This window comes from Homo sapiens, chromosome 14 (genome assembly GCF_000001405.40).
Source record: "Homo sapiens chromosome 14, GRCh38.p14 Primary Assembly".
Lineage (NCBI taxonomy): Eukaryota > Metazoa > Chordata > Mammalia > Primates > Hominidae > Homo > Homo sapiens.
The window spans coordinates 100083908-100096118 of NC_000014.9; the positions used below are offsets into that span (position 1 = coordinate 100083908).

At 42.5% G+C, this 12211-nt stretch overlaps 1 protein-coding gene across 10 annotated transcripts in view; it reads left to right on the forward strand.

Moving 5' to 3' along the window:
- EVL (Enah/Vasp-like) overlaps positions 1-12211 on the forward strand; it is a 172815-nt gene that overhangs the window by 112486 nt on the left and 48118 nt on the right. For all 10 annotated transcript variants that reach the window (XR_007064013.1, XR_007064014.1, NM_001330221.2 and 7 more), the window contains exon 2: positions 780-948. Coding sequence is in view for 8 of the 10 variants with exons in the window: in NM_001330221.2 (NP_001317150.1) it covers positions 780-948 (169 nt within the window). In the remaining 2 variants the exon portion in view is untranslated. The remainder of the gene's footprint in view (positions 1-779; positions 949-12211) is intronic.

Consider the following 12211-nt stretch of genomic DNA (forward strand, 5'->3'; position numbering starts at 1 on the left):
AATACGTGTATGAACTTGTATACATCTTTGCAAGTCTCTGAGCCACTTTTTTCTCATCTAAAAAAATGGAGAATGGAGGTAATAAATAGCTGCTTCATAAGTCATGAAGCTTAGATGCTTTAATAATGCATTCTCTCTCTCTCTCTTTTTTTTTTTTTTTTTCCGAGACAGTTTCACTCTGTTGTCCAGGCTGGAGTGCAGTGGTGCAATCTTGGCTCACTGCAACCTCCATCTCCTGGGTTCAAGCAATTCTTGTGCCTCAGCCTCCCGAGTAGCTAGGATTACAGGCATGTGCCACCGTGCCTGGCTAATTTTTGTGTTTTTAGAGGCAGGGGGCATCTCACCATGTTGGTCAGGTTGGTCCTGACCTCAAGTGGACCACCAGCCTCAGCCTCCCAAAGTGTTGAGATTACAGGCATGAGCTACCGTGCCTGGCCACATTCTCTTGTTTAATACAGTACATGGAATGTTGTGAACAGTTGGCAAATTATAATTGTAATTCCTTTCTTATTCAAGCAACTTCTCCCCTGAAAACAAAGTTGTGAGTCTTTTCCAAGCTGTTGAAAGTTTTGGCACAGAACCTCCTCTCCACTCTGCAAGCTCCTTAGAGAATGTAAGCTCATCACCTCACCAGGCAGTTCTTCCATAGATGTTGGAAGTTCTGGCAATTGGAAAGTTTCTTTATGTCAAGTAGCAATTGGCCTCTATTTCAGAAAAGGGCAAAGTCAACTTCCATCCACTGTAGCTGAGGCTGACACCAGTTTTTTCTTGCTCGGCAGTGAACAGAGTATCTGCCAAGCCCGGGCTTCCGTGATGGTCTACGATGACACCAGTAAGAAATGGGTACCAATCAAACCTGGCCAGCAGGGATTCAGCCGGATCAACATCTACCACAACACTGCCAGCAACACCTTCAGAGTCGTTGGAGTCAAGTTGCAGGATCAGCAGGTCAGTGCTGGAATTACAGATTATACCCGTGAGCCTGCGCACCACCTCCTCACCGCCCACCCCTTACACACATGTATCATTAAGAGGTCAGAACAAAAAGGTCAATATTCGGAATCAGAGGACCTGGGCTCAGATTTTGACTCCATATCCTCATAGTTCAAAGTATGACACCTTAAGCACACTGTTTCCTGGATTTCACTTTTTACCTATGTCATATGGAGACAGTAATCCGCACCCTGCCTATTTCACTGTGTTATTGTCAGATTAAAATAAATAATAGATGTGGGAAAGCTTTGAAAAAATAATATTGCAAAAATGTGTTCATCTTATTCATATGTAAGGTAGCTATTAAGATTTGGGGTTCATCAACCTTCTAAGTCTTACTTTAGAAAGAGTATCAAGATGGTTTGGAGAACCTGGGGTCATTTCTCTCCCTAATAGTTCAACCTAGGCAAATCAGATAAGATAGTTTGTGAGTGTACCTGGTAAATACCTACATAAATATGAGGGAACAATCATGTCCACCTGTGTCATGAATAGTCATATACACGTAATTAATGGCAAAATAGTCTGATGTGACATGGACTAAAATAGGGACATGGAGAAATAGGCTGGGCGACTTAACCACAGTGACTTTGGTTAGTTCGGTGCTCTCCCTCCAACTCTCTTCTTATAGATTGACAAGAGCATTTATAGCAGTGAATTTAACAGATCTGTGATTATAGCATTTGTGAAAAAGTCTATATAAACAGCATCTTGTGGCAGCCTTTGTGGGTCAAGCTTCAGCTAAGTTGAGCAGCAGGTTAGCTGCTATCTTGGAAAGAATCAGCGATCGGAAGAGAGAGAACAGAAACTCTGGGTTCTGTTTTTAGTGTGTTGCCTGTTGATTGGGTTTTTGCTTTAATCGAAATAGCCCTATTAAGTTTCATGATGCTCATGGCTAACAGAGACATCTCTACCCCAGGACCCCTGATAAAAGGTAGTCTTTCTGGCTGGGCACGGTGGCTCACGCCTGTAATCCCAGCACTTTGGGAGGCCAAGGCGGGTGGATTACAAGGTCAGGAGTTCAAGACCAGCCTGGCTAACACGGCGAAACCCCATCTCTACTAAAAAATAAAAAAAAATTAGCCGGGCGTGGTGGCGGGCACCTGTAGTCCCAGCTACTTGTGAGGCTGAGGCAGGAGAATGGCGTGAACCCAGGAGGCAGAGCTTGCAGTGAGCCGAGATCGCACCACGGCACTCCAGCCTGGGCGACGGAGCGAGACTCCGAAAAGATAGTCTTTCTAACCTTGAAATCTTGGTACCTCCAAAAGCATCCCTTTCCCTTGTTGATGAGCCTTAGTGGTATAATGGTATAAATGTCTTTCTAGAAACCTTCTAGAAGCTGCCTTCCTAAAATTCCAATTCACTAATTCTAGATCTGCCTTTCAGTGACACACTGTGCCACACGTTGCAGGATATACAGAACCTTTGGCCCCAATTATGGTGACAGTCAAAAATATCTCAAGCTTTCAGAACACCTAGTGGTTGGGGCTTGTGAGGGCAATACCTCCATGTCTTTGACACAAGGTCCACCTTGTGCAGTTCCTGAATCATAGTAGGTGTTCCATAAGTGATTGCTTTTATTATGACAAGTTTCCCATTCCCTTCCTGCCTCTTGGTTGCCCTCCAGGGCGTAGTAGGAAGACGGCATGGTGTACTGGAAAGGGCATGGGAAGGGAGAGCTCCCCAAAACCCAAACACCGCCTGTTCTCAGGGACCTCAGCACCTCACAGCCTCCTTCAGAGGAAACCACATGTTGAGAAAGAGACCTTTTCCCCACTCCGGGAGGGACTGACGGCAGTCTTCAGTGGTATCCTGTTTAAATTTGGAGGGCTGTGTTGATTCTAACTTAGAGACCTCCTAGAGTGTGATTGAGAAGTTCAGAGCACAGCCTCCCACTTGGAATCACATGTTCAGGAGACAGGCTATCAGACAGGATTGAGGATATCTCCCCACATGGATGGGGCATGTTTAGCTAGGAATAGAAAAGAGATTCTTGGTAAACCAAGACATTAGAGAAAATGGCAGGAAATCTGGTCCATAACAACTTTTAGGGACCTCAGTAGAAAGACTGATTTTCACAGATTTGGTTTTAGTCCGTGTGGGCTACCACCTTAAAGTGGTCAGACATGTTGAGAGAATCAAAGATTCCTGGTTTTATAACTAAATAGGGATATCTTACATGTTTAATGCTCTTTATGGTTAATGGAGCACTTTTCATGTCTATTATTTCATTCTCCCAGTAAGGATAATGGTACAAGAATTATCATCACCATTTTGCTAAATAGGTGGACATAAAACCAGGTAATCAGTTATGGAGAAAATATATAGTAAGTTATAGTACCATTAGCCAAAATCTAACCTAAATCTTACATTCAGGGTGACAAACCTAAAGGATTTTTAGTTGAGAATAAGTTTTGGTCACCAAAAAATGTGGCTGTTGCAGTGGCTCATGCCTGTAATCCCAACACTTTGGGAGGCCAAGGCAGGTGGATCACTTGAGCCCAGGAGTTCCAGACCAGCCTGGGCAACATAGTGAGACCCCATCTCTATAAAAAAATATATAAATTATCTGGGCGTGGTGGGGCATGCCTGTAGTCCCAGCTACTCAGGAGGCCAGGTGGGAGATTCTGTTGAGTCCAGGAGGTTGAGGCTTCAGTAAGCCGTGGTCGCGCCACTGCATTCCAGCCTGGGTGACAGGGCGAGATTCTGTCTCAAAAAACAAAAACAAAAAATGTTAGTGAGTTCTCAGGCTGAATTAGTAGAAGTAGAGTGAATTGATAGAAGTAGAATAAATTAATAGAGTAAATTAATAGAGGTGGAGCAAATTCATGGAGGCAGAGGTCCAGAAGAAGGGAGACTGCAGTCCTGCTCTGCTCTGCTCTGCTCTGCTCTGCGTGGGTCATTCTTCCCGCAGAATGCTGGGACTGCATCTGAGTACAACAAACTGGAATCTACAAGAAGAAGGGCATCCAAACTGGTGAAAGATCTGAAAGCGGGATAATATGGGGAACAATCGAAGGAGTAACAAGAGATATTTACTTGAAGAAGATAGAAACTGAAGGGGGCATGACTGCGATTTTCAAGTCTCTGAAGGGTTCCATGTGGAAGAGAAATCTCACTTTCAATGTGGACCCCGGAGAACAGACCTAGGAATATTGCGTGGATGCTATAATGAAGAAGATATTAACGCAGTAAAAGGATGAGCTTTCTTACAAGCATACTGTTGAAAGATGGAAAGTGTTACATTGCCAGCCTGAGAGGTAAGATTCTGGGAAAGACAGTTTGTCATCAAGTAGAGACTTGGATGAGATGAGACCTCCAAAGCCTTTGCCAGTCTGTAGATTCTGTAGTTTTTAGATCCAGGCATATATGGGGTCAAGAAGATAGTTCTCCACCATCAAGCATCTTTCTTTTTTGTAGAGGACTCTTGACTCTTTTTACCCAGAGGCCCCCAAAACATGTGAAGGCAGTACAGTCATGCACCTCTTAATGATGAGGATACATCCTGAGAAATGCGCCCCTGGGGGATTTTGTTGTCATGTGAGTGTGCTCACACAAACCTAGATGGTACAGCCTACTACACACCTAGGCTGTATGGTATAGCCTGTTGCTCCTAGGCTACAAACCCATACAGCATGTTACTGTACCGAATACTGCAGGCAGTTGTAACACAGTGGTATTTGTGTGTATAAATATACGTGAGCATAGAAAAAGTATAGTAAAAATACCGTACTATAGTCTTATGGGACCACCATCATATATGCAGTCTGTTGTTGACCAAAACATCATTATGTGGTCCATGATTATATATGGAGTTGCAAGACCTTCCTTTAAATGAAGAGGAAAGGCACTCCTACACTCCCCAGAATAAAACTTGTGTAAACGTTGTAATTATGGGCTCCTATGCAAAAAGTATGACATTTTAAAATGTTAATCCTTCAGCAAGTGTCCAGATCAGTCCTGCCAAACCTTGGAGAATTATTTTTAAAATAAAGCTGATAAGGAGATCCCAACGAGGCCTCCAAAAACAAAAAGTTGAAAGTAAAAAATTGGAAAAAGATAAACCTTACAAACACCAAAAGAAATTGATGTGGCTATGTTAATATCAGACAAAGCAGACTTTAAGGCAATAAGTATTCCTAAAGATAATGACAGACCTTTTTAATGCTAAAAGGGCAATTGAAAAAGAAGTCATAGCATCCCTACATTTGTATGAATCCATTCATATATCTTCAAAACACATAACGCAAAAATCTAAAGGGAGAAGAGACAAATTCAGAAGCATAGTTGGAGATTCTAATCATACCTCCAAGCTACTAATTGAATAAAGACATAGAAATAAGTAAAGACAGAAAACTTGAATAACATTATTAACCAACTTGAGCTAATTTTCATTTGTAGAAACTATAGCCAACAACTGTACGATGCATAGTCTTCTCAAGTAAACAAAACATTTACCAAAATAGACCATATGCTGGGCCATAAAGCAAGTGTCAAGTTAAAAAGGATGGAACTCACACAGAGTATGTTCTTTGACCACAGAGGAATTAAACCAGAAATTAGTAACAGAGGGTAACTTTTAAAATCTCCAAATGTTTGGAAATTAAGTGGTCTAATACTGGATGAACCATGAGACAGAAAAGAAATCACAGTGTAAACTAGAAAATATTTTGAACTGAACAGTAATGACAATATAACATAGCAATACTTGTGGGACGCAGCTAGAACAGTACATATGAGCCAGGCGCAGTGGCTCATGCCTGTAATCCCGGCATTTTGGGAGGCCAATGAGGGAGGACCACCTGGGGCCAGGAGTTTTGAGACCATCCTGGTCAATATAGTGGGACTCCAAAATCCACCTCTACCAACAAAAAATTTTTTAATTAACTGGGTGTGGTGGCATGTGCCTGTAGTCCTTGCTACTCAGGAGGCTGAAGCTGGAGGATCACTTGAGCCAAGGAGTTTGAGGCTGCAGTGAGCCATGGTGGTACTACTGCACTCCAGCCTGGACAACAAAGTGATAACCTTGTCTCAAAAAAAAAGCCCCAAAAAGTACATATGGGGAAATTTATAGCTATAAATGCATATATTAGAAAAAGAAGAGTATTTGAAAATCAGTGATCTATGCCACTATCTCAAGATGGTAGAAGAAAAATGAAAGCAAATTAAACCCAACAAAAGTAGAAGGAAGGAAAAAATAAAAACTAATGAAATAGAAAGCAGATGTATGATAGAGAAACACAAAATGTCGCGGTTTTTTTGAATGAGAAAGTTGGTTCTTTGAAAAAAAATTAAATTAATAAACCTTTATTGAGAGTGAGAAAGAGAAAACACAAATTGCCAATATAATGAATGAAAGGGGAAATCACTACAGATCCTATAAACTAAAAACATAGAATATCGTTAGTAATAACCTTGTGCCGGTAAACTTGACAGCTTAGATAAGATGGACATATTCCTTGAAAAACATAAAGAAGAAACAATGCCAGTCTTACATTACTCCTTCGGAGATGAGAGAAACAAAGCCTGCTTCCTATAATGTCTTCTTACAACCATGCTGTATAACCATGATACAAAAACTGCACAAAAACCTTACAAGAAAAGAAAATTACAAGTTATTATTTCTAATGAACAATAATGCAGTAAGTAAGCCTGAACAAACGATTAATGACTTGAATCTAATAATGTATTAAAAAGAAAATTTTGAAAAATAAGATTTATTCCAGGAATGCAAGATTGATTTAATGGAATAAAGCCGGAAAACCGTAAGGTCATCTCACAGATGGAGAAAAAGCATTTGGTAAAATTCAGTATCCCTTCATGATAAAAACTGAGGAAACTAGGAATTAAAAGTACAAAAGTGATTTATTTAATCAGATAAAGGGTATCTACAAACAACAACAAAACAAAAACCATAGCTGACGTCATAGTATCCCACTTTCCACCTGAATTCAAGAACAAGACAAGAATGTTCACTCTCACCTCTTTGATTTAGCAGTTGGAAAGGAAGAAGCAAAACCATCTCGCATTGCAGATGACTTAATAGTGTATGTGGAAAATGTGAAAGTAGCTACAAACTATTATAGTAATATAATAATATATACTAATATTATATTAAGTGAATTTGGCATGGTCACTGGATAGAAGATTGTGATATTATCATATATGTATTAGTTTTCATCGACGCTTCCTAGCTGGTAGCTCCCAGAGCCCTTATTAGAATGTCGGCGTGCTGCCCGCCTCAGAAAACAAGAGTCTCTCTCTGCCTTTCTCCTGCCCTCCTTTCACCTGCCCCTTTTCTCCCCAAGGCAGGAATCGTCCCCTGCTTTTCTGACTGGAAGCTGGTCTTAACGAAATTCCCTGACCTACCTTGTCTGATTGTGGGTGCTAAGACCCTCATTTCAGAATGGGTTCCGCCCCATATCCTAGAGGAAGGAATGCTACAGAGAGGCCGAGGAGAATCTGAATCAACAGGCCTTGCTGGGTTTCCCCACTCTGTTATTGTGAGATCATACCCTTTTTATCCAATCACATTTCTACACAGTGGTCAATCGTACCCATCCAGTAAAGTCTCCATAAAAGGACCAAAAAGGCAGAGTTGGGAGAGCTTCCAGAGAGCTGACCTGGTGGAGGTTCCTGGAGGGGGGGCAGGCCTAGGGAGAGCGGAGGAGCTCCATCCTCTTCCTGCATCCTTTGCCCTGTGCGTCTCTTATCTGCCCACTCATCTGTAGCCTTTCTTATGCCCTTTATTAAGAAACCCGTAAACCTAGGTAAACGGTTTCCCTGAGTTTTGTGAGCATGCTAGCAAATTCATCAGACCCAAGGCAGGGGTCATGATAACCATGATTTATAGCCCGTGGGTCGGAAGCACAAGTCACAACCTGCACTTGCGACTGGCATCTGAAGTTGGGGTAGTCTTGTGGGACTCAGCCCTCAACCCGTGGAACCTGATGCTGTCTCCAGGTGTATAATGTCAGAATTATAGAGGACACTTGACGTCTACTTGAGAATCTGCAGAATTGCTTGCTTGTTGTATGAGAGTAGAGAATAGAGGCTGGGTGCAGTGGCTCTTGACTGTATGAGTGTACAGCACTTTGGGAGGCCGAGGCAGGAGGATCACTTGAGCCCAGGAGTTCAAGACCAGCCTGGGCAACATAGCAAGACCTCGTCTCTACAAATAAAAAAGTTGTAAATTAGCTAGGCATGGTGGCACACACTTATGTCCCAGCTACTCGGGAGGCTGAGGCAGGAGGATCCCTTGCGCCCAGGAGTTTGAGGCTGCAGTGAGCCATGATCATGCCAGTGCACTCCAGTGTGGGTAACAGAATGAGACCCCATCTCATTCTAGGGTCTCAAAAAGAATAGGAAAAACACTTTAGTTTTTCTTATATCCTTACAAGTACATATGTCCACTAAAATATATGTATGAAAATGTTCATAACAGTTGTATTCATATCAGCCAAGAATGCAAAACTACCCATGTCCATCAGCAGGAGAATGGAGAAGTTGTGGTTAAAAAAATGGAATACTATGTAGCAGTCAATAAGAATTCAGCCAGACTCAGTGGTTCACACCCATAATCCCAACACTTTGGGAGACCGAGGTGGGCAGATCACCTGAGGTCAGGGTTTCAAGATCAGCCTGGCCAACATGGTGAAACCCCATCAATACTAAAAATACAAACATTAGCCAGGTGTAATGGCATGCACCTGTAATCCCAGCTACTTGGGAGGCTGAAGCAGGAGAATCGCTTGAACCCAGGAGGCAGAGGTTGCAGTGAGCTGAGATTGTGCCATTACACTCCAGCCTGGGTGACAGGAGCGAAACTCCATCTCAAAAAAACAAACAAACAAACAAAAAGAATGAAATATGGATATATGCGGTAACATGGTGAATCTCATAAAGATTGTGTTGAGGGAAATAAGCCAGAAACAAAAGAGTACATACCATATACCACAGGAGTCCATTTCTATGTAGCTTAAGAACAGACACATTTTGCCAATGGTGTTAGAAATAAGAAACATGGTTATCTCTACAAGTGAGTGTTGGGTGATGGGTACTAAATGAAGCAGCCTCACCCAAAAGTGGACTTGCAAAAATGCACGTGTTCAGGTGGATCCTTTGACTCACTCTAAGCAGAGTAAACAAAGAGGTGGAACCATTAGGTACTGAGATTTTAGCTGTTGGCTGGTCAGGTCTGGCAGTTAATAAACACTGGCCACCTCAACAAATGGTCAAGTGACATTGGCCTTGTGTCACTGCACATACATCCAAAACACATTGCACTGGACTCTCCTGTTTTAGAAGTCAATTTTCAAATAATAAATATAAATTTTGTAATGGTCATGTCTCTCTAGCCATTTGGCTTACAGGGATATATCCTGTAGAAATACATCTTCACAGGAATATTCAGTGCAGTATTATTTATAATATTATCTTCATCTTACATGTGAGGAAACTGATATGAGCAACTTGTCTAAGGTTATACAGCTGAAAAGTAATAACGCCAGGGTTTTAATGCAGAACCCTCTGACGTAAAACCCTCTGCTCATTCCTTGTACCTAGTATGCTTGTCTTCAAAGCAGTCATAGACCGTTGGGGGCTGTGTGTAGACACCAAACAGCAGCAGTTGGTGAGCAGCCTTTGTACTGCAGTTGTAGATAGAACAGAAACGGCAGGGCCAGGGGCCTTCAATCAGCGACCAAGCATGTGTGGCAGAGCCCAGAGAACTTACAGAACTGGGATACGTCCTCTAGAAAGGCTTCACTGCACTCTCTCAGTCCCATATCCTAAAACTTCCTGAGTTGGAAGTGATTTATGAGGCTCCAAAGGTTAGTGCTAGGACCAGAGAGGGAATTATAGGAAGAAGGATTTCAGCTCATTATACAACAGTCCTCCACTTAGCTGTGGCTTTGCTTTCTGAGGTTTCACATACCCAAGATCCACTGCAGGCTGAAAATATTAATTAAATGGGAAATTCCAGAAATAAGTCATAAATTTTAAATTATGTGCCATTCCAAATATTATAATTGTTCCATTTTATTATTAGTTATTGTTGTTAATCTCTGACTATGGCTAATTTATGAGTTAAATTTTATCATAGGTATGTATGTATAGGAAAAAACATAGTCTATATAGGGTTCTGTACTACCCACATTTCAGGTATCCACTGGGGGTCTTGGAACCAATTCTGCATGGATAAGCGGGGACTACCATACTGGCAACAAAAAAAAATCACGAAGTCCTCGGCTTCTAAATCCAATTTCCCCATTAGCTTACTGTGTAACTTTGGACAAGTCACTCATTCTCCCTGGACCTCATTTCCTGACTGTAAAAAGAGCGGATTGAGTTAGATAATCCCTAAGGTGCTATTTAGCCCCTTCAGTGGTTGTCTGCTGGCCATATTGTCCATATTCTGGATTAGGCGTCATCTGCCCCTCAATTCTCATTTCCCCCCCAAGAGCCACTTTGAGGTTTGGAAAAAAAGAAAAATTCTCACTCATCTTAAGTTCCTCTCTAAGAATGTAGCCAACCAGAGAGTTCAAATCATAGGGTTCTAGGCCAGGCCCAGTGGCTCATGCCTGTAATCCCAGCACTTTGGGAGGCCAAGGCGGGAGCATTACTTGAGGTCAGGAGTTCGAGACAGCCTGGTCAACATGGTGAAACCCTGACTCTACTTTAAAAAAAAAAAAATTGGATGGGGCATGGTGGCATGTACCTGTAGTCCCAGCTACTCAGGAGGCTGAGACAGGAGGATCACTTGAACCTAGGAGGTGGAGGCTGCAGTGAGCCAAGATCGTGCCACTGCACTCCAGCCTGGGCGACAGAGCAAGACTCCATCTTAAAAAACCATACTACGGGCCAGGCACGGTGGCTCACGCCTGTAATCTCAGCACTTTGGGAGGCCGAGGCGGGCAGATCACGAGGTCAGGAGATTGAGACCATCCCAGCTAACACAGTGAAGCCCCGTCTCTACTAAAAATACAAAAAATTAGCTGGGCGTGGTGGCAGGCGTCTATAGTTCCAGCTACTCTGGAGGCTGAGGCAGGAGAAACGTTTGAACCCGGGAGGTGGAGGTTGCAGTGAGCCAAGATCGCACCACTGCACTCCAGCCTGGGTGACAGAGCGAGACTCCGTCTAAAAAAACAAAACAAAACAAAACAAAAACGGTACTAAAAATTTTTTTTGTTTTAAATCAAGTCAAATCATAGGGTTCTAAATTTCATTTCCCCAGAATATCTCCTCACGTATCTGGAGACAGTAGTCGTGAGACACTAAAGTATCTTTTATCTTGCTTCAGTATCTCTTAACCATTCCTGATATAAGGTGGTTTCAAGACCTTCTTCAATTTTTAAAGCATTTTCCTCTGGCTTGCTTCAGTTTGCTACTGTCCACTAGAAATGCAACACCAAAAATGAAAACAAAAAACTTGAACACAGAACTTCTGATAGGGACTTACCAGGGCAGAATGGAGCAGGTTCTTCTCTTCCCTCATGCTGGTCACTGTACCACTGTTAATGTGTCCTATAATCTAAAGAGCTGTTTTCACAACAGTTAACTTTGCTGGTTCTTATTATTTGGTAGTTATTAGTTACTAGTTATTATTTGCTAGTTCTTATGAGTCCTTTTTCTGATGACCTATAACTAAACCTAGTCACCCCCAGTCTAGTTCTTTTGGTTTAGCTGTGTGTGCATGTGAATCTATACCCCTGGCACAAAGAGCAAAAAAACAGAGAACTACCCTGGAACTTGTGTGTAGTTGTTGGCCAAAATATGTGCCTGTCAATATGTAACAATTAAGTTGTGAAACAATTACAGGTTTTGTTGTTGTTGTTGTTGTTGTTTGAGACAGAGTCTGGCTCTGTTGCCCAGGCTGGAGTGCAATGGCGCAATCTCGGCTCACTGCAATCTCCACCTCCTGGGTTCAAGCGATTCTCGTGCCTCAGCCTCCCAAGTAGCTGGGACTACAGGCACCCACCACCATTCTCGGCTTATTTTTGTATTTTTAGTAGAGACGGGGTTTTGCCATATTGGCCAGGCTGATCTTGAACTTCTGACCTCAGGTGATCCGCCCACCTTGGCCTCCCAAAGTCCTGGGATTACAGGTGTGAGCCACCATGCCCAGCTTCAATTACGTTTTTTTAGCTGATTTAGTGTACTGTGTGTGTGTCCCCTCTTTCCCTGCCTGTGCCTGTCATAGGAAGACCCAAGCCCACCT